The sequence below is a fragment of the Homo sapiens genome, chromosome 1, assembly GCF_000001405.40.
Source record: "Homo sapiens chromosome 1, GRCh38.p14 Primary Assembly".
NCBI lineage: Eukaryota > Metazoa > Chordata > Mammalia > Primates > Hominidae > Homo > Homo sapiens.
In genome coordinates, this window is record NC_000001.11 from 38468505 (window position 1) to 38490934 (window position 22430).

Sequence of the window (22430 nt, forward strand, 5' to 3'; positions counted from 1 at the left end):
GCTGTGCCTGGCCCCAGCACCTTCTTTAGACATTGGTGATATCACTGAGAATGACTTCTTAAGCCACAGTCACTATAAAGAGTCAATCACCAAAGACGAGATAATCTTGTGTCACTGCAGTTGAAGATCAGCTCTCAACAACTGGTGCAAGCCTCCCAGCCCTTGAGAGCCAGGGATTAACTAAAGATAATCCTCAGAGCTTGCAGACTTTCAGACATAGTGGAGTGAGCAGTGGACAATAGAGGAATGTGATTTCCCAAAGAGGATCCAAATCAAGGGGGTCAGCAAAACATAAATATATCAAAGAGATGTTTGTACACCCATAGCAGCATTATTCACAATAGTCAAGAGGTGGAAGCAACCCAGGTGTCCATCCATGGATGAATGGATAAAAAAAAGTGTGGTCTATACATACAATGGAACATTATGCAGCCTTAAAAAGGAAAGAAATTCTGACACATGCTACCTCATGGATGAATTCTGATGACATTATGTGAAGTGAAATAAGGCAGTCACAAAAAGGGAAATGCTGTATAATTCCATTTATATGAGGTAGCTAAAGTAGTCAAATTCATGGCAACAGAAGGTAAAATGGTGGTTGCCAAGAGCTGGGGAAAAAGGGAAATAAGGAGTTGTTTAAGAGTTTTAGTCTTACAAGGTGAAAAATTTCTGGAGTTCCACTGCCCAACAATGTGAATATACTGAACACTACTAAACTTTGCACTTAGAAATGCACTTATATATACATACATAAAATTTATGTTATGTATATTTTACAGTTAGAAATTTAAAATATTGAAAACAACTACATGTTAGGGATAATTTTAAATATAAAGAAAAACAACTGTAACCAAAATTCATAGGATTAGTACTACTGTGTCCTGTCATAAAACTATTTAGACTTCCCAACACTCAAAAGAAATATTCACATATTTGATTCCTACCAATATTCTAGCTATGACAACTTTTCCCAACTTACTGGTTTGGTCACATAATTAATAGTGATTTTTCCCATTAGGGGTTCCAAAATGCTACTGGCTAAACTTAGAAATATGGTGCTGGTATTTAGTCTTTTGTCTCCAAGAAAATTCTTAATTTTAAAAAGCTCATTTTTTTTATTTTATTTTTTATTTTTATTATACCTTAAGTTTTAGGGTACATGTGCACAACGTACAGGTTTGTTACGTATGTATGCATGTGACATGTTGGTGTGCTGCACCCATTAACTCATCATTTAACATTAGGTATATCTCCTAATGCTGTCCCTCCCCCCTTCCCCCACCCCACAACAGGCCCCAGTGTGTGATGTTCCCCTTCCTGTGTCCATGTGTTCTCATTGTTCAATTCCCACCTATGAATGAGAATATGTGGTGTTTGGTTTTTTGTCCTTGCGATAGTTTGCTGAGAATGATGGTTTCCAGCTTCATCCATGTCCCCACAAAGGGCATGAACTCATCCTTTTTTATGGCTGCATAGTATTCCATGGTGTATATGTGCCACATTTTCTTAATCCAGTCTATCACTGTTGGACATTTGGGTTGGTTCCAAGTCTTTGCTATTGTGAATAGTGCCGCAATAAACATACGTGTGCATGTGTCCTCATAACAGCATGATTTATAATCCCTTGGGTATATACCCAGTAATGGGATTGCTGGGTCAAATGGTATTTCTAGTTCTAGATCCCTGAGGAATTGCCACACTGACTTCCACAAGGGTTGAACTAGTTTACAGTCCCACCAACAGTGTAAAAGTGTTCCTATTTCTCCACATCCTCTCCAGCACCTGTTGTTTCCTGACTTTTTAATGATCGCCATTCTAACTGGTGTGAGATGGTATCTCATTGTGGTTTCAATTTGCATTTCTCTGATGGCCAGTGATGATGAGCATTTTTTCATGTGTCTTTTGGCTGCATAAATGTCTTCTTTTGAGAAGTGTCTGTTCATATCCTTTGCCCACTTGTTCATGGGGTTGTTTGTTTTTTCCTTGTAAATTTGTTTAAGTTCTTTGTAGATTCTGGATATTAGCCCTTTGTCAGATGAGTAGATTGCAAAAATTTTCTCCCATCATTTTTAAATATAAAGATAAAATGGAATAACATTAAAACTTATGAAAAGAAAAGCTTACATGTCCATCATCTCTCTTCCTAACAATGATTTCCCATTTATAAATTTACCCTTCCAGTTCATTATTGTAGTCATTATATACATGCCATTTCACCTGTGTTTCTTTTGCTATTATACTATAGGTATTTTTCCACATATTATGTTTTTGTCAAAATTATTATTTTTAACGGCCATATAATATTCCATTGAGTTGATGACCATGATGAGCCTAGTCATTGGCTTATTTTTGAAGAGTCATTTCTGTTCTTCTAATACAGATAAAATAGTTTTGGATATTTAACCCATTCCTGATATACTTAGTGTTTTTCATGATTACTATTATAGACACAAACTATGAGAAACTCATAGAGCTGAAAGGGCTATGGGATCAATTATTCCTGTTCCTTAGTTGAGGAAGACTCTGAACCTATACACCAAACAGCACTCATCAGCCTAGTCAGATTTTCTTTGTGGCAAGTTTATGACCCCATGCGATGCTAAGTAGGCTATCAAAATGTGGATAGTTTTGCCTAAACCTTTTTGTGACATTCATTCAAATGGCAGCAATGACATATTTCTGTTTAAATCCCACATATAACAAATCCCACATATAACATTTGAGTACTTCAATGAATAAATTCCTCAAATTTCCTGAGTCCTAGGTAATTTTTGGAACCAGAGGATGGAGTTGAAGACCAGTGTTTACTTAGCTATTTATTTGTTTTAACATTAAAATCAGATTTCATTCATCTGTTATGAGGTTTTAGCTGATGCTCTTCCCCTCTGCCTGGTACACTTCCCTGCAGCCTCCTTCACCAAGACTGCTCCTACTCATCTTTTCCATCTCAACTCAAATGTCACTCCCTTAGGAAAGCTTTCCCTGACACTTCCTCTCCAACTAGGTCAGTTCCCTCAAGATATGTTCTGATAGTTTCCTGAACTTTCCCTTCATTGCGTTTATCAGTCCCTAATTATATATACTCAGGCAAGTATCTGACATTTGTCTCTCCCTCTAGGTGTAACCTCTATGAGCCAGAGGCTGGGTCTGTTTTGCTCACTGTATCCCAGTCAGTATCTAGCAGATAGTACATAATAATATTTGTTGACTGAATTAAATGTCATCAGGGACAGTCAGGAACCAATAGGTTAAGAAAGGGGGAGAGGCCGAGCGCAGTGGCTCACGCCTGTAATCACAGCACTTTGGGAGGCTGAGGCAGGTGGATCACCTGAGGTCAGGAATTGGAGACCAGCCTAGCCAACATGGCACACACACACACACACACAAAACTAGGCATGGTGGTGCGTGCCTGTAATCCCACCTACTCGGGAGTCTGAGGCAGGAGAATTGCTTGAACCTGGGAGGTGGAGGTTGCAGTGAGCCAAGATCACCCCACTGCACTCCAGCCTGGGTGACAGAGCGAGACTGTGTCTCAAAAAAAAAAAAAAAAAAAAGGAAAAATGATAGAAAAAAGAAAGGATGAGAGAAGAGCAACCAAAAGACAGGGGTTGTCTATCTTAGCATAGTCATCTACTCCACATTCAGGAAAAACATTGTGACAATTTTAACAATCCATAAATCAAAGATTCCACCATAACTTTTCTTTCTGAAAGTAGTCTGGAACTGTCTCCAGTTACTCCTCCCTTCCCTTCTTTCATAATATGTAGGTGCATAAAGCACCTGTCCACTTCTGCTTCACATTTATTTGTTATGTCTTATCTTTTATTATAAGATTGTACTTTTAGAAAACAAGGCTTACTTCTTCCTTACATCCTATTTGCATGGCCAGCACTTAGGAGATCATATATAGTCAATAAATGTTAGCTCTTCTTACCTAAAATTCATATGGAATGTCAAGAGACCCCAGATAACCAAAACAATCTTGGAAAAGGACAAACTTAGAGATCTCACACTTCCTGATTTCAAAACCTACTGCAAAGCTACAGTAATCAAAATAATGTGGTACTGGCATAAAGATAGACATATTAGCCAAGGGAATAGACAGCCCAGAAATAAACCCTCACTTATATTGTCAAATGATTTTCAGCAAGGGCATCAAGACCATTCAATGGGAAAAGAACAGTTTTTTCAACAAATGATTGTGAGTATCTTGCTTTGGATATCTGCATACAAGAAAATGAAGTTGGACCATTACTTTACATCATATACAAAAATTAACTCAAAATGGACCCAAAACCTAAATGTAAGGGCTAAAACTATGAAACTCTTAGAAAAAAAAACACAGGGGAAAAGCTTTATGACATAAGCTATGGCAATTATTTCTTCACTATGATGCTGAAGCACAGGCAACAAAAGAAAATGTAAATAAATTGACCTTCATCAAAATGTAAAACTTCTGTGCATGAAAGGACACAACCAATAGAGTAAAACGATAACACACAGAATGGGAAAAAATATTTGCAAATTATATTTCTGATAAGGAGTTACTATCCAGAATATATAACTAAACCACAACCAAAAACCCAACCTGATTAAAAAATGGGCAAAGGATTTGACTAAACATTTCTCTAAAGAAGATACACAAATGGTCAATAAGCACATGAAAGGATGCTCAACATCACTAATCATTAGAGAGATGCAAATCAAAACCACACTAAGATACCACCTCACACACATTAGAATAGTGACTGTCAAAAAATTCCAGAAAATAACAAGTGCTGGTGAGGATGTGGAGAGAATTTGCCCTGTTGGTGGAAATGTAAAATGATGAAGCTGCTATAGAAAACAATATACTGGTTCCTCAGAAAATTTAACAGGAATTATCATGTGATCAGTAATTCTACTTCTGGGTATATACACAAAAGAATTGAAAGCAGGGTCTTGCACATATATCTGTACATCCATATTCACAGCAGCATGATTCTCGGTAGCCAAAAAGTGGAAGCAACTCAAGTGTCCATTGACAGATGAATGCATAAGCAACATGTGGTATATATACATACAATGGAACATGAGTTAGTCTTAAAAAGGAAGGCGATTCTGATACATGCTACAACATGGATGAACCTTGAGGGCATTCGCCAAGTGAAATAAGGCAGTCACAAAAGGAAAAATACTGTATAATTCCTCATATTCCACTTATATGAGGCATCTCGAGTCGTCAAATTTATAGACAGAAAATGAATGGTAGTTGCCAGGAGCTGAGGATAGGGAGAAATGGGAAGGTGTTTAATGGATACAGTTTCAGTTTTGCAAGATGAAAGGAGTTCTAAGGTAGTGGTGACGTTTGCACGACATTGTGAACATAATACCACTAAACTGTATATTTAAAATGGTTAAGATGATAAATTTTGTTGTGTGTATTTTATCCCAATCTAAAAAAGTATCAGTTCCTTCTCTATTAATTTCTATGATGAAACCTCTCAGAGCCCGGAATGGCCCCTTGCATCTAGCATGCATCAATAAATGCGTAAGCGGACGGATGACCAGATCCAGAGTTGGAAGTTACCTTTGGTGAAACCCTCTACCCAGCCTGAATCCTTCCAGGTTGTAGGACACTCACTACCTCTCAAAGCATGTCATTTCTTCTTCATTAGAAAATTCTTCTTCATGCCACCTTTAAGCTGAAATATGACTTCCCTGTAATATTTCCCCTTCCTCGGTGATCATAGCTCTGCCTTCCAGGCCCAGAAAGAACAGGTCAAATTTCTACCTCATCTGACCACCTTCATGCAATAAAAGACAGAGCTCTGTGCACTTGGAGAGTTAAAGCCTCACCCCAAATGCATCTTCCCGGCAGAGAGACAGTCCTTTTGCAGTTAAATCACACTGAAAATCCTCAAGAGGAATATCTGTTTCTGGTTCATTCCAGAGATGCACTAAATGGCAAGAACATGGAGGCAACACATGGACCCGATGGAGTCTCCTTGTGGGAGGGGACTCCCATCTTTGAAGAACAAGAACTATTTATCTAGGAATAGAGAAATCTCTGAGTGAGACACCACCTGTCTTGAAGATGATTCTATGGCAGAGGAAGCCTTGTTTTGGGTCTAAGTCCATAGTATATACGTTACAGCAAAGCAGATTTCAACTCAATTATTTAAAAAAGACTGTAGAACTGCAAGTGCATAAAAACTCATAGAATAGTAGTAACTGTAGGAATCATTACTATTAGGCCCCAGCTTGAACTTCATTGCCCCTTTGAATTCAGGAAATAAATAAGCACATGTACACATACGCACACCCCATATGTCACACCAGGCATTGTGGCGCCATCCATGACTGACACTAAACATTCTAGAAGTATTTCTGTTTTCATGCAGATACACACAGCACAGCTAGTTTCAAAATTAAACCACAATGAAAACTGTCACTACTGACAAGGAACTATGCAAAGACCTTCGGTCTCAGGCCCTTGCTCACTCAGGAGTACCTTGAGACCTGTTTCTTCCTGTTCAGCTGCAGTCACGGTTCTAACCTGGTTCTTCTCACGGCTGGTATCCTCTGACCTTTTATGTCTTGGCAATGACTTCCATGCATTTTGGCAGTGACTGCCTGAATCTCTGATTCAACCCTGATCGCAGCCTCTCGGGCTTTCTCGCTCCTTTAATTCTTTCCGCGGATGGCCACGGCTTTTGCCGCCTGTACCCTTCCTGGAGCAACCCGTGCTTTTGAAAAATGACCATGCCGAAGGGGAACTAACACTCCCAGCCTGGTGCGGGTCTTGTCAATCTGATTTTTAAATGATGGAGGAGGAGGTTTGAGGACAAAGCTCATGGTGGCATTACCACTATCAGGGACGCTGCAAAGATCAAGTGAAAAGGGGAAAAGGCTCTTCTCAATGTGAGCACATTCACAGGCTCTGAGAACAGAGAGGTATTTAAAGTGAACTGGAACAAACCTGCAACATCCGGTGCGTTCTGCCTTCAAAAATAGCTGCCAGTTAGAAAGGGTTATTTACATATTGATTTCATGCTAACTTTGTAATGGAATGTGCTGCCTGCCTGCCTGCCTGAGACCTAACAACTGTCATCATAATTTTTTCTAAAAATACAGTCAGAGAAAAACACTCATTGAACCCTCCACTGGAAAGTAGCTGCAAAAGACCCCCTGATCCCAAACCTGCTTGACAGACCACAGCCAAGGGCAGGGACACTCAACAACTGTAAACGAGGAACATTTCACAGCGGCAGCTGGCCCCTCTCTTCTTCCAACCAGCCAATATTTTTTGTCTTTCTAGAAAACCTGTCTTGTTCAAAGGTAAGAGTGCTGGGGAGTGGGGGGATGCCTCCCTGGAGCAGAGCAGCCTTTGTAGAAACTCCAGCTGGCCTCTCTTCAGAAATAATGGATGGAAAAGGGGCCCGAGTGGCCCACCAGCACCAGCGCTCCACCCTGGGCGCATTTCTGCCACGGTTTCTCCTGGCATCTCTCTACCAAGGATCCCCACTTCTCGCCCCTCCTAATAGCCAGCTTCTAGTGATTCTCACTTGGACTTTTTCCGAACCCATCCCCAACTCACCCCACCCCCACCCCCAGGTTTGTCTCTGTGGATCCCACAGAGCTGAGCCCAGGCAGTTCTGTCGTCGTTCCCCAGTGCAATATTAGCAATTTAAATGCCTCTTTGCCAGGCCTGATGGAGCTGATTCGGTTGTGATCCTGGGCATATGGATGGCATATTTGCTGCGAGCTAGGTGAGACGCGTCCCAGAAGGACCGCTGCCAGCCCCCGCAGCCGCCTTCTCCTGCTCCCGGGAGGCTGGGGCTGGCCGCGGAGCAGCGAAACCGGCCGGATCCAGGGTAACTGCGGCCCACTTTGTTTTCAGCCGGCCCCCGCTGCTGCGGACAAATCTTTCATTCATGAACAGGAGCTTGTTAGGCCAACTCCGGACTCTAAAGCCACTTAATTAAATTGTGGAAAGTCGCTTGGTCCCGGTGGGAAATTTGCACACAAAGACCCGGGGTCCGCGCCCCCCCCACCCAGGAGCGCCGCCACAAAACCGGGCCTGGCCTCCCCCCGGCCCGCGCCCCTGCCCCTCCGCTCCCCGCGCCCTCTCCACCGCCGCAGCCGCAGCGAAAGCGGCGCCCCCTCATTAGAGGGCGTTTGTTAGGGAATGTTTTCCCAGCGATTCACTGACGGGCCTTTCATTCCTCCCTCCGCAATCAAGGGCGGCAAGTGCAGCCTGAGAGCCCTCCACGGCCTGATTGCTGAAAGAATTTCCAAAAGGAAAGAGTGTAAACAGGTACATTGAAAAAGCCTCTTTTCAACAATTATGTAAACATTCCAAACACTATTTGAAAACTTTCACAGTGGAACTGTCAAGTCGGAGCATTCTTGTTTAATTGCGCGGGCACAATGGTGGCTCTGGGGCTACCCCAGCCTCCCCCAGACCCCGCAGAGCTTAGCGGGACGTGGGAGGCCCTCAGATAAAGAAGTCACAGCGAGACAAGTGAGCTTTACTCTCCGGCCCACGGCATCTTTCCGTGTGTGTCCTTGTTCCCTTGGCCTCCAGAAGAACACCCTGGAAACAGGGAGGCGCCTTCTTTCTCCTGACTGGATTTCTCCAGGACCTGGGCCCCTGCTCTGCACAGAGGGTCGCTTGGTAATCAGGATGCAACTAGATGGAAACTTCTGTGTCATTTAAGGGTTTTCTCCAAAGCACCAAATGACCATTCTGAGATACCAGGCAAAATTGTTGGCAACGTTTTCCCTCCCCTTTAGAATGTTTCTCGCTGGCCTCTCCGGCCTCTCCTTTTCTGACTCTAGTTTGCTACTGGGCAAAAGTTTCCTCCTTTTCCATGCAGCTCAGAGTCTCCTGATTCACTAACTCAACTACCAGTGACCCTGATTACATTACTAGAAGTTGGAAGAGTTTAGGCCACACATGCAAACCGCTTAATCTCGTATTTCATGGAAACACCGAGGTACTCAGATCACTTTTATACATATTTTTCTCTGAATCTGTTTAGCCCGTCTCCAGTCATTAGCCTGGTCCAGGTCTGGCCAGCCTGTAACCACCAAGGCTTGCAGGTTGCATCTGAATAGGAACCGTGGTTGTGACAAGTGGGATGTGATTTGTTTTCGTTTTTGTTTTTTTAAAACTCTATTTTCTTAAAAGCTGGGGAGGGGGCAGTCCAAATGTTCAACAGGAAGGGACTGGCATATCAACACAATGAAGTCTTACAAATGTGGAATATGAAGGCCATGTAGAGATATGGAAAATATTTATGCAACAACATACAAAATGAAGCCACAAAATCATATTTCCACTGTACTGGCAAATGCAAGAAAACATGTCTGTATGTGGCAAAGGGCTAGAAAGGACATACCAGAATGAAAATACTTGTTCTGGGGAATGGGGGTACCAGCACGTTTTACTTCCCAAGCATATATCTTTAATGTTATCACATTGTGTTATCAAGGCAAGGTCTGGGAATGCTGGAAAGCACCCGTGTACATACAGGGTTGCACTTAAAAGGCCACCCCAGTAGCCTGCAGGGAGAAGTACACACCAGCCCACAGCACTCTGCATCCCTACCAAGGATGTAGATCAGAGCTTCCAGGTAAATTCCTCAGGTCTAAAGAGGAGCTAAAACTTGCTTGCTTGCTGAGTCCCCAGGAGGCAGACACAGAATCAAAACTACAAGATAAATCAGATATGTGTTTTGTAGAAATGGTTATGCTCAACAGGGTTACTGGCAGAGCAGGGGCCAGAGAGAAAATCACTTCTCTCCATCCCAGGGGGGCCACTGAACACAGTAGAGGCTCAAAGAGTGAATGTGTCTATCTCCTAGGCTTATTCCATTTGACTAAAGTCAGCACTTATTATGCATCTACTCTGTGCCAGGGTCTGTTCTACAGGCTGGCCCTGTGAGGCCACAGAGTAATTTTAATCCCAACAAGTTAATTCATAATGAAGTGTAGAACCAACATCTTTAAAAATGTATGTGAGTTAATTGAATTTTGACAAGGGTGCCAAGACAACTCAATGGAGGAAAGAAGAGACTTTTCAACGAATGACACTGGGATAAGTGGATAGCCATGTAAAAAAGAATGCTTTTGGACCCATACCTCACACCATATACAAAAATACCTCAAAATAGATCCAAGGCATAAATGTAAGAGCTAAAGCTACAAAACTCTTAGAAGAAAACAGATGCAAACCATTATGACCTTAGAGTAGGCAATGGTTTATTAGATAAGACACCACAAAGCATAAACAACAAAAGAAAAAATAGGTAAATTAGACTTGACCAAAATTTGAAATTTTGTACTTCAAAGGACACTATCAAGAAAGTAAAAAGACAACTCATGGAATAGGCAAAACTATCTGCAAATCATACATCTGGTAAGATTATTCAGGATATATAAAGAACCCTTACAATGCAACAATAAAAGACAAATAACCCAATTAAATAATGAGCAAATAATTTGAATAGATATTTATTCAATGGAGATAAACAAATGGACAATAAGCAAATAAAGAGATGCTCAAAATAATTAGTTATTAAAGAAATGCAAATAAAAACCACAGTGAGATACCACTTCGACCCACTAGTATAGCTATAATCAAAAAGACAATGAAAAATGTTGGTGAGGATATGGAGAAATTGGAACTCTCATACATTGCTGATGGAGATGTAAAATGGTATAGCCATTATGGAAAACAGTTCAACAGTTTCTCAAAAAGTTAAAAACACAGTTAGCCTATGACCTGGCAATTGCAACCAAGATAATTGAAAACATATGTCCACACAAAAACTTGTACATAAATGTTCACAGTGGCATTATTCATAATAGCCAAGAATTATAAACAACCTAAATGTCCATCAACTAATCAACTGATAAACAAAATGTGTAATATCCATACAATGGAACATTATTCAGCCATTAAAAGGAGTGAAGTACTGATTCATGCTGCAAGCAAGACACACACAAAAAAGCCACACATTGTAGCATTTTATTTGTATGAAATGTCCAGAATGCAAATCCATAGAGCCAAAGTAGATTAGTGGCTGCCAGGGGCTGGGGAGAAGGGGAAAAGGAAAGTGATTACAAAAGGTTACAGGGTTTCTTTTGTGAGTGGGAAGAATACTCTGAAATTAGATAGTAGTGATGGTTGTACAACCCTGTGACTATACCTAAAACCACTGAATTGTACACTTTAAAAGGTATATTAGTCTGCTTTTACACTGCTGATAAAGACATACCTGAGACTGGGCAATTTACAAAAGAAAGAGGTTTAGTTGACTTACAGTTTCACGTGGCTGAGGAGGCCTCACAATCATGGCAGAAAGTAAGGAGGAGCAAGTCACATCTTACATGGATAGCAGCAGGCAAAGAGAGAGCTTGTGCAGAGAAACTCCCATTTTTAAAACCATCAGATCTTGTGAGACTCATTCACTATCACCAGGACAGCATGGGAAAGACTTGCCCCCACAATTCAGTGATTCATTCATCTCCCACCGGCTCCCTCCCACAACACATGGGAGTTATGGGAGCTAAAAGATGAGATTTGGATAAGGACACAGAGCCAAACCATATCAAGGGGATAAATTTTATGGTATGAGATATACTTCAGTTTTGTTTTGAAAGGTTCTGCAAACTATAAAGCACCACCTACAATACAATTTCTGTAGCAGGAGCAAGGGGTATTACATGAAGTCCAGAATGCTCATCTGCCTAATTAATTCCCGAGACCCTTCTCAGTCTTCATGGCAGTATGTCACCAGGATAAGCTGGCAGTATGTCACCAGGATAAGCTGGCCATGGTGGGTGGTCTGTGCCAGGCCTTGGGAGCCTAACTGGGGCTTCTGTGTACCCCTGGGCCTCCAGAAGGAACTGGGGCACATGAATTCTGGATCTGCTGAGCCCCACTAGGATGGGAGAATGAAGACATTACAAATAAGCCTGCCTAGAAAAGCCCACACAGACTGGAAGTCTGAAGACATGGAGTCCAAAGCAGAGGGCTTGGGCTAGAATTCCAGGAACAGAGACTCAGCAAGTGATCCTGAGCAGAGACCATCCCTCCTTTAGTTCCCCCAATTTCTTTCATCAGGTTAGTCCAGATTGTGCCTTGAGACTCCTTTTTTTTTTTTTCTTTTTTGAAACAGAGCCTTGTTCTGTCGCCCAGGCTGGAATGCAGTGGCTCAGTCTCGGCTCACTGCAACCTCTCCCTCCTGGGTTCAAGTGATTCTCGTGCCTCAGCCTCTCATGTAGCTGGGATTACAGGCACCCGCCACCACACCTGGCTGATTTCTGTATTTTTAGTAGAGACGGGGGTTTCACCATGTTGCCTGGCTGGTCTTGAACTCCTGACCTCAAGAGATCCACCTGCCTCAGCCTCCCAAAGTGCTGGGATTACAGGTGTGAGCCACCGTGCCTGGCCTGTGCCTTGAGGTTCTGATGAGAGACTCTTCCTCTCATTCTGTGGCTCTGCAACAGCAACCAAAGTGGGTAGGGTCCCTAGATCCCAAGCACAGCCCTGCTAGAGGAGAGGCTCTTTGTTTCCCTGGGACAGGCCTGCTGCAGTGACTGGTTTGGGGCCCCAGGAGCGGCCCTGGTTTCAGACTGCTTCCAGGCCATGGGTCCACCCATGCCCTACTGGCTTCCCGAGCCACATCCCTGGATTCTACCTCAGGTTTTGAACCTGATTCTCTACATGAGCCTGATTTTGAACCTCTGGTTCTCTGTATGAACTGCTTACTGTGGAGCTGCAACCAGAATCTAGCCTACACTTCAGATCACTCCAGAAGTCCCATCTGTTTTTGGCCATAGTCTTCCGAACTCTGGCCTAGCCTGACCAGAGTGGCTGGTACCCAATGCTTGGAGGGTGCCTGGGCTCCAGCTCATCCCTACATGAAGATAACCTGAGCTACAGTCTATGTCAACTGGCCTGAGGCTATATCTCCGACCTCCTTCTCGGTATTCCCACCTTCCTTCATCCCACTCTGACAACACTGGCCTCCTTGTGTGTTTTTAAATAGGTCAAGGGGGTCCCATTTCAGGGCTGGAACAGTCCCCTCCCTAGTCCCATGGCTGGCTCCCTCACTTCATTTAGTTCTTTGCTCACATATAACCTCTTTGCAGAAATTGTCTCTTACCACCCTTATAAAATAGCACCCCTGTCACATTCTGTCCCTGTATCCTGCTTTACTTTTCCTTCTTTATGTGCTTTTGGTCTGTAACCCTCCCAGAACAGAAGCTCCATGAGGACTGGACTTTGTTTTGTCCACTGCTGTATCCTCAGCACCTAAGAGTGCCTGGCACCTAGCTGACACTGGATACATATCTGCTAATAAATGAATGAATGAATGAACGAGCAAAGGAATGAACAAGTGAATATTTTGTCTCATTGGAAGCTAACAACTAACGGTGAGAATGACATATTATGGCCTTTCTCTGACTCTGAGAAATTGAAAGCACAAGAACAATAAATGACTTTCCTATATTTGCAAAGAGTTGGGGTGAAAAAGGAACTTGGAGAGGGTGGGCCTTGGTGCCCACTCCATGATTGCGAAGCCATCCTTCCTACTCTGTGTGAAATACCCTGTTTGGAGACATCCTGTATGGTTTACAGAAGAACAGCAGAGCCCATGAGGCTAGCCCAGGGCTGGAGCAGGAGCAGGATCTAAAGAGCTAACAGAGCTTCCACAGGGAGGAGCTCAAAAGAGTCTCAGCACCTGCCTGAGCAAACGGTCCAGGGTATGCCTTCCATCAAGCAAGCCCTCAGAGGCAGACTGCTGTGAACACATCTGGGACCATGCTCTACCTTGCTGGTCCTTGAGCAGGTCAAAGAGTCTTTGGAAATTCGAGAGCATGAATCCAGAACACCTATGTCCTAGGTCTAGCCCCACCACCCCTCACACTTAGGACAATAGGACAAGGACGTCTGTGCTGACTACCTTAGAAAGGGAACTAAAAAACCTACGTAACATGTTTCAAACAATAGGTCACACGGATGGGCCCCTGCCTTCATTTGGAGAAGTGAGGTGGTGCTGTGAAAACAGCACTGGGTTCGGAGATTTTTGTTGAAGTTCCAATTCTCATCACTTGCAAGCTCTGTGAGGGACAAGGCTCGTAACTCTTCTGAACCTTTATTTTCTCAACCATTAAATTCTCAACTAATAAACCTCACCTCACAGGGATGCTGTGAGGATTTCAGGAACTGAAATTTCGTAGTCAGCTGATGGTCAATGTGATCTGTTGGAGTGTGATATGTTTTGTGCACCTGATGAGCTTAGGAATTCACATGAATAATAAGAGAAGAAGGAAACTAACCAATCAAAACAGAACACTCTCTGTGCCTCAATTTTCTCTTCTGCAAAGTGGGAGTAATAGAGCCTATCACACAAGATAGTTGTAAAATGCAACATATATAAAAAGCATGAGATATATATATATATATATATATATATATATATGGTGCATAGTAAGCTCTTAGTAGAAGTTAGCTATCACTGTTGTTGCTATTATTAGGACTGTCATGTACCAGCATTATATTCTATAAATAATAAAATATCAACAATGAGATATTGACACATGAGCCTCTGCTCGGGCAATGTCGATTATCCATTCCCCATCTACTCTCCATCCCAGGGGGCCTGTCAGGAGGGAATGGCTGATTCGACATTTTAGCTCCTTCCCTGAACATCTCAACCAAAAACTGGTTTAGTTTCTATATGTAAAAAGCGTTTAAGGCATAAAACATTATATTGCCTTTCCATGACAAGAAAAGTTTGCTGATTTACATCTCTGTGTGAATCAGTAAGGAAATAGGAAGCCGTGAAATAATTGGTTTAATAAAAATTAACTGCTCATGAGGTGTCCAACCTAGTAATTCCAATAATCTTTGGAGGAAAGGACAAATGCCTGCACCCACAGGTTGCTTATAACTATAGAAGAAGGACAGATGCATTCTCTGTGCATCAGAAGACAAAGCTAGGGTCAGGCCTGCAGATTAAAAAAAAAAAAAAAAGGCAGATTGCAGTTCAATATTAAAAAGCACTTCCTACCAAAATAGCTGGCTGGAATTGTAATGGCCTGACTCAGGAGGAAGGGTGTTCCCTGTCACTGGATGTGATGAAGTGGAGACTTCTGCTGCAGAGGAGATGAATACATTGGATAAAGGTCTGAGTTACATTACTTTTAAGGTTCCTTCCAATTCTAAGATTCTGTGGCTCTCTACATACATAAATTACCTACAAAGGAGAGAAGAAAGCCACACTGGTCTGAATCTCAGATCATGATTATATGCACAGAAAACTAAAGGTGTTCAATGGTTACTTTTGCCCACTTCCATTGCACCAGCCAAAGGAATATAAGGACTTCTTTCCTTCCCCCTCCAATTGAGGGATCAAAGCTTTGTCCCTCCCCGACAGGAGGCCTTCTGTCACCAACACACTCCCTGCAGATGAGGAATACTTAGAGGGCCATGGTTCTGCTGCTCAGCCCAGCTCAGCTGGGTACCACTTCATTCATTCCACAAATGCTTCTTGAGTATCTGTTTTTGTTTTTTGGTTTTTGTTTTTGGTTGTCATTGTTGTTGTTTTTCCAGATACTGTGCTGGGTGCTGGGGATACTGAGTCAAGTAAGATATGATCCCTGCCCTCAGAAAAACTACGGAATGATGGGACATCCATGAAAGTCAATTGGATGTCATACTACAGTGTAATTGAGGCAGATAAAAGGTGCTCTGAGGAGGGATGTCTAACCTGGACTGGAAAGGCTCCCTGGATGAGGTGACTCAGGCTGAATTTCAGAGGTACTGTTAACAGTTAGTTAGCTAGACCAGTGCTGTCCAGTAGAATCTTCTGTAGTGACGGCAATGTTCTATGATCTACTTACACAGTACCTAGTAGCCACGTGAGGTAACGGAGCACTTGAAATGTGGCTCATGCAACTGGGGAACTGAACTGTTCATTTTATTAAAGTTAAAATGTGTCTATATTGGACAGAATAGATAGGCAAAGGGTGAGAGAAGGCTGTTACAGATAGAGGACAGAGATCAGAAGTGTGCAAGGGCACAGCACCTGGAGGGCATGACGAGGCAGCCAGTGAGGGGCCAGAAGAAGGGGCCTGTGGGTCCATGGTGGGGGATGGGATCGAGACTGGTCAGCAGCCAGCTCCTGAAAGTCCTGGTGTGTGAAGCTAAAGAATTTGAACTTCCTGGCCGGGCGCGGTGGCTCATGCCTGTAATCCCAGCACTTTGGGAGGCCGAGGTGGGCGGATCACGAGGTCAGGAGATGGAGACCACGGTGAAACCCCATCTCTACTAAAAATACAAAAAATTAGCCGGGTGCAGTGGCGGGCGCCTGTAGTCCCAGCTACTCGGGAGGCTGAGGCAGGAGAATGGCATGAACCCGGGAGGCGGAGCTTGCAGTGAGCCGAGATTGCACCACTGCACTGCAGCCTGGGCAACAGAACGAGACTCCGTCTCAAAAAAAAAAAAAAAAAAAAAAAGATTTTGAACTTCCCATTTATCCTGAACTTCTTATTTTTTTTTTTCTCCTGGGCTCATGAAATCTGCCTGCCTCAGCCTCCCAAAGTGCTGGGATTACAGGTGTGAGCCACCAAGCCTGGCCCTAAGGTTTTAAGTAGAGAATGATAAAGTTACATTTGTGTTTTAGAAATATCACTGCAACAACAGTGTGGAGAATGGATTGTGGGAGAGGCCGTGGGCCAGGGGAGCAGCTTGGGGAGGCTGCTGAGAGCCGGAGCTGCTGAATGGCTGACAACAGAGCTAAGCAGGGGCAGTGGGAAAGAAAAGGATGAGGGCCCCAATCTGATCTGACTCAGGACTTCTATTGCTGATCAGACCTACTGATGGGGGGAGGACACAGCTGGGATGAGATCCCACCCAGGTTCCTGGCGTAGAGGGCAGGTGGATGCCATGGCATGGAATTCCCAGGGAGGGGGATTGTGGGCAGAGCCACTAAGGGCATGTGTATTGAGTCAACAGAAGAGAGCATGAAATGGAACCCTGGAGAAGGGAGACATTTAAAAGGTGGACCAAGAAAACAAGTCCACGAAGGATACAGAAAAAAAAAAAATCAGAGAGGCAAAAAGAAATCCAGAAGATGAGTGTCACGGAAACAGAGAAGACAGAGTTTCTAGGCAGGAGTAGTCAAGAGTGTCAAATGCCATATGAGCATTAAAAGGGTGACAGTGAACTTAGCAATTAGGAGGTGAGGGTGGGGTGGGAGCAAATTTAGTGGAGCACTGGGGGTCTTAACACCGATCTGGATTTGACAGTTGAGACCTGTTTCTTCCTGAGATCGTCTGCTCCCTGGAGACATAGGGCCCAGTGGCTTTTAAACTTTTTTGAGTCACAAATGCCTTTGACAATCTAATGAAAGCTATGTCTCCTGTCTCCAGGGAAATTCACCCACAAATAAAATGTTGTATTTCATTTCAAGGATCCCCTAAAGCTCATCCACTGACCCCCTGGTTTTAAAAAAGTCAAAATTACTTAGTTTCTATTTGCTGAGTTCTGGCTGCAGAGATCTGAATTCTAACCAAATCGTCTGCTTCCTGGGAATCTAAATCTAGACAGAAATCTTCCATTCCTCCATCTCCTGGGGCCCTCTAGCCTCAGCTCCAGCCTGGTTCATTCACATTTCCAGGCTTATTGTCCTGCTTCCTGTCAATCAACTCTAAATCATTACGCAAATTAACATCTCTAAAGCCCACCTCAGCAGCCTCTGCCTGGAGATGTGTAACTAGTGTTTCCCAGGGTCCAGCCTGGGGTACAAAGGGGTCACAAAAGCAGTTATAGAACTGGGAGAACCGCCTGCCGCCCCTGCACAATGCCAGCGGGTGGAGCAGGGCTTTGCTCTGACATCTGAGGGCTTGTAGCCCAGGAACGTTTGTCACTGTCCCTTCCCACCAAACATCTTGGTTCACAGGTCTCTTTTGGCCCTCTCTTCCAGTTTTTGAACATACCTAGGTATAAATGAATTCGCTGAAGTTTCAAAGCTTGTTCCCAGTTTAGGGGATACCCCCAGAAGAAAGGTAAAATCAATGTGTTTTTTTTCAGAAGAAAAGAGGGAGAATGGGTGGAGATATAGAAAGAAGGGAAGAAGGCAGGCAGGCAGGCAGGAGGAAGGGAAGAAGGAAGGGAGGGAGGGAGGGAGGAAAGAAGGAAGGAAAGAAGGAAGGAAGGAAGGAAGGAAGGGAGGAAGGAGAGGTCATCTTGTTGCTAAATCTTGGATTCTTAAATCAACCTTAGCTGTAAAACCTTTACAGAGTAAAGTTGCCAAAATCCCACTCACAATTCTGCTATTACTACAACTAATGATAATAACAGCCACAACCTCACATGTTACTGTTCTGTTATTTTTTAATAAAAAATGTATACAGTTAAGGTGTACAATGAGATGTTTGATATACATACACATAGTGGAATGATTACTGCAGTTAAGCAAATTAACATATCCATCTCCTCACATAGTTACTGCGTGTGCGTGCACACTTGCACGCGTGTGGGTGGTGAGAGCACCTGAAATCTACTGTCATTGAATTTCCAGTATCCAGCACAGTATTATTAAGTACAGTCATCATGCTGTGCATCAGCTCTTTAGACATTCATCCTACATAACTACAACTTTGTACCTTTTGACCAATCTCTCCCCATCTCCTCACCTCCCTGCCCCTGGTAACCATGGTTCTCCTACCTCCTGGACAGAAGAGAGTCCCCTAGCAGAACTAAAGTGAATGGCGATTCTAGTAAGCTTACAGTTGGCTACTTTTCCTGAAAGCTTGGGAAAGCCAGCAAACTCCCCCATAAATCCACCCTAAACAAATTCACACATGAATTCCAGAATGCTATCTGTTACAACTTACAGTTGCGTCAATACAGGATGGAGCTCCCCAGACGGTGCTGGCTGTTGAGTGCTGCAGCGAGTGCGATATTGGCCCTTTAGATTTCACAGACACCCTCTCCAAGTACAAACACACACTCACACACACACAGACACATGCGCGCGCCTACTCCATCGCGGGCTGCGTGGTGTGTGCAGTCAGCAGCCGTGTGGAGAATGTGAAATCACACCTCGCTCTCCTTCCGAGGCAGTGAGATCTTTATTGGTTTGGGAACTGCAACAGTTTGCGTGCTGAGAGGTTGCAGGAGGTTTCCAAGCACCCCATGTGGAGTTTGGTGCTCTGGCACCGTTCACATGGTTCCCATTTTGCCAGATCCTTTCTAGAGGCTCCTTCCGCACAGCCTGGGGAAGGCCCTCAACAGAACATAATGTAAATCTGTGGCTCTTGTTAGTGTTCTCAAAGATAATGCATAGGTTCGTTCAGTATTTGACAGTTCACACAGATTATTTCTATTTCTTACCCTGTTTGCTACTCAAGAGGCACTAGGAGGGATCCCACACAGGAATTATTGACCCTGCTTTGCGGGGGAGGAAAGTGAAGTGCAGAGAAGTCAAATAACTTGCTCAAGGTCAAGTGCAAAGAAGTCAAATGACTTGCCCAAGGCATTAAGTGGTAAAGCTGAAACCAAAATCCGGGCTTCGAGTTCAGGCGCCTTTCCCCTGACTCGCCCTTATCATAATCATAATCTTAAGCTATCTTTACATTTATTGGTAACTTTACAGCACAAAAAGTCACCTATGGAATTCCATATGGCGTTTCATTCTGCTACTTGAATACTAAGACTATGTAATGTTTTCTATTTATTGCGCACAGATCTTTATTATCCTCTCAAGCCTAAGAATTAGGGAACTGTTAGCTAGAAATGAATTTGTGTTTTATGGCAACACTGATTGATAAAATACTGTTGGGGAGCAAGTGATGATGTCATCATGTGGCCTCAGGTTTCGGCTTCACTATTCTATTCGTGTGACCTTGAGCAATTCCCTTCACATAAACAAGGGAAAAGTTGTAGCCAGTGGGCTCCAGAGACATGATCTTAGGTTAGAATTCCAGCTCCATCACTTCCTAGCTGTGCCACCTTGGAGAAGATCCCTAACCACTCTGAGCCTCTGTTTCCTCATTTGCAGAATGGGGATAATAGTAGTACTCTGTCATGAAGGGTGTGTATTAGTGTGCCAGGGTTGCCATAACAAATACCACAACCTGGGCATCTTCGACAACAGGAATTGTCTCATAGTTCTGGAGGCTGGAAGACCAAAACCAAGGTGTCAGCAGGGTTGGTTCCTTCCAGGGACCCTCTCCTTGGCTCACAGATGACCATGTTCTCACCATGTCCTCATGGGGGCTTTCCTATGCATGCACATCCTCGGTGCCTGTGTGTCTGCAAATTTCCTCTTATAAACACACCAGTTGGATTGGATTAGGACCCACCCTAAAGGCCTCATCTTAACTCAGTCACCTCCTTAAGGGCTCCCATCTCCAAATACAGCCACATTCCGGGGTGCTGGGGGTTAGAGTTTTAACATATGAATTTCCAGGGGCAGGGGAACATAATTTTGCCCATAACAGACTATGAGAATTAAATGAAATATTTTGTTTAAGTCACATAGCACAGTGCTCCAGAGCCATCAGCAGGTGTGACCTCTGGTGCTCATCGGTGTAATGGAGATAATAATACCTCTCCCATGGGATTGTTATGATGATTGATGCCAAAGTGCTTCATAACCTACACATCACCTTAACAGGATGAATACTAGGTGCTGGGGTAGGGGTGGTGAAATGAACTGGTCACTTGATCTGGGAATTACCAGGCTATTCCATGGGAGGCTTCAAGGGTATTCTTGCTGGGTCACAGCTGCTCCCCAAGTCACAAGCAAAGAGAGTTTGGGGCCAGGGTAAAGGCTATCTTGGTTTCGGGTGAAGTGGCATGGACAGCAGGTTAAGACTGGTTCAGATGGAAGGAAACACAATGACACTCTCCATGCAGGGATCCTGAACTCAGGTGGAAGCACTCCAGACAGGAACCTGAACGTCTCCAGTCAGTTGCCAGCTGGAAGCTGGTTATTCTAGAATGAAGCCCCAGGGTGCTCAGAAAGGACCTCACTGCCCCCCTTGAGACTAGAGGACTATTAGGTTAAACTACGTGAACTTGCCAATATTTGACTGTTTTTGATCTGCACAACTAGCAATTTCATATAATTTAACTGAATATTAACCTCCACTTTGTGAATTCATGTCTCTGTGCCATTTTATTCTTTGACTGATCCCCATGATTCAACGATTCACTGGTTCAATCTTCAATTCCGCAAACATTTACTGTCGTCTGATGCATGGGCCGTTGTGCTTGGAGTTAAGGAACAAAGCCACCCCTCTTCTTCCTGCCTAAGTTTCAGACGCTTTGAAAGAGATGCGGAGTCAGGCAGATGGAAGCGGAAATGCTTGCTTTGTTACCAATAAGATTGGCTCTGGAGAGCATGCGCAGACAATGGGCCTCCTGATGTTGACCACCAGGATTGGGCAGACCACCATCCAGCCACAAGGGGCGCTAGAAAGCTGCTGCCCTTGCCTTCACTGCCAGGGCTACCCAGGCACAGGTTCTCTGCTGAGACAGCTTCCAAAAAGAAGGGGGAGGAGTTTAAGCTACAAACCTGCTACCTCTCCCAAGCTGGGGGGTGGGGGACCGGAAAGGGAGATCAGAGTGACTAGAGGCCAATTCAGGGCAAGAGTGCAGCTTGCCACCCTACCACCTGGAAACTAAACCAGAGAGAAAGAGGTTTCCCCACAAACAGTAATGGCAGCCCCCACCCCTGCCCTCCCCCCGCCAAATCCCACTTACTGAAAGCCGGTATGTGCACGGGAGACTTTATGAAAGGTTTTGGGGTAATGGAAATAGATTTACATTCCGGCAAAGCTAACACATTATAATTAGTTACTAGAAATCGTTTTCTTAATAGGCTGCTGTGTAGCTCTGTTGTTCCTCGCTCCTTTCTCCCCCTTCCTCTGTATCTCCCTCTCTTCTTTTTACCTCTTAAGGGCATCCTCACACCCCATTTTACTATATAGAACATTCTGATTCTCTTCAACTTTACCCCTCAGTTTCAGTTGAGATATTTCTTTGTGTATTTCTTCTCCCTCCAGAGGACATATCTCTTTCTGGTATATAGAAGCAGCTACCTTAAGAGTACATAAATAATTCTTTAAGCCCTGAAAACCCCAAACCTACTTATGACCTTATTATCCCATCATTTCTGCCACAAAATAAAAACCTAAAGAATAAATCTCAGTTATGCTAATATTTGACAGACGCGGAATCTCCCCCAAAATGCCTTTTTCTAAATACAATTATTCTAAGTACTAATCCAGTGAAGCTTAGTGTTCAAAAGCACAACACTAACAATCTCTGCTCTCCAAAATTAATGTTAATAAATTAAGCTTTGCAATATACAAATTAGTTCCAACCTGAGTCACTAATTTTCATTTTCCCTCTTCCC

General features: G+C 43.6%; 2 long non-coding RNA genes across 2 annotated transcripts in view, besides 7 other annotated features; one reads left to right on the plus strand and one right to left on the minus strand.

Moving 5' to 3' along the window:
- Positions 1-22430, minus strand: part of LOC105378657 (uncharacterized) — a 203343-nt gene that overhangs the window by 168307 nt on the left and 12606 nt on the right. The window lies entirely within an intron of this gene.
- Positions 6041-6100: an enhancer, noted in NCBI's record as "active region_793". NCBI's record gives its function as "activates an Ori minimal core promoter by ATAC-STARR-seq in GM12878 lymphoblastoid cells {active_cell/tissue: GM12878}" and the evidence as "EXISTENCE:reporter gene assay evidence [ECO:0000049][PMID:35858748]".
- Positions 6131-6240: an enhancer, noted in NCBI's record as "active region_794". NCBI's record gives its function as "activates an Ori minimal core promoter by ATAC-STARR-seq in GM12878 lymphoblastoid cells {active_cell/tissue: GM12878}" and the evidence as "EXISTENCE:reporter gene assay evidence [ECO:0000049][PMID:35858748]".
- Positions 6521-6700: an enhancer, noted in NCBI's record as "active region_795". NCBI's record gives its function as "activates an Ori minimal core promoter by ATAC-STARR-seq in GM12878 lymphoblastoid cells {active_cell/tissue: GM12878}" and the evidence as "EXISTENCE:reporter gene assay evidence [ECO:0000049][PMID:35858748]".
- On the plus strand, positions 6692-7980 carry LINC01685 (long intergenic non-protein coding RNA 1685). Its single transcript, NR_146761.1, has 3 exons — positions 6692-7320; positions 7689-7751; positions 7883-7980. It is a non-coding gene; the product is annotated as a long intergenic non-protein coding RNA 1685 (long non-coding RNA).
- Positions 15740-16500: an enhancer, noted in NCBI's record as "H3K4me1 hESC enhancer chr1:38949916-38950676 (GRCh37/hg19 assembly coordinates)". NCBI's record gives its function as "activates a minimal SCP1, AML or CMV promoter by ChIP-STARR-seq in primed H9 embryonic stem cells {active_cell/tissue: H9 hESC(primed)}" and the evidence as "EXISTENCE:reporter gene assay evidence [ECO:0000049][PMID:30033119]".
- Positions 16501-17261: an enhancer, noted in NCBI's record as "H3K4me1 hESC enhancer chr1:38950677-38951437 (GRCh37/hg19 assembly coordinates)". NCBI's record gives its function as "activates a minimal SCP1, AML or CMV promoter by ChIP-STARR-seq in primed H9 embryonic stem cells {active_cell/tissue: H9 hESC(primed)}" and the evidence as "EXISTENCE:reporter gene assay evidence [ECO:0000049][PMID:30033119]".
- Positions 21112-21886: an enhancer, noted in NCBI's record as "OCT4-NANOG hESC enhancer chr1:38955288-38956062 (GRCh37/hg19 assembly coordinates)". NCBI's record gives its function as "activates a minimal SCP1, AML or CMV promoter by ChIP-STARR-seq in naive H9 embryonic stem cells {active_cell/tissue: H9 hESC(naive)}" and the evidence as "EXISTENCE:reporter gene assay evidence [ECO:0000049][PMID:30033119]".
- Positions 21333-21627: an enhancer, noted in NCBI's record as "tiled region #9528; HepG2 Activating non-DNase unmatched - State 13:Ctcf, and K562 Activating DNase unmatched - State 12:CtcfO". NCBI's record gives its function as "activates a minimal TATA promoter and a strong SV40 promoter by Sharpr-MPRA in HepG2 and K562 cells {active_cell/tissue: HepG2 | K562}" and the evidence as "EXISTENCE:reporter gene assay evidence [ECO:0000049][PMID:27701403]".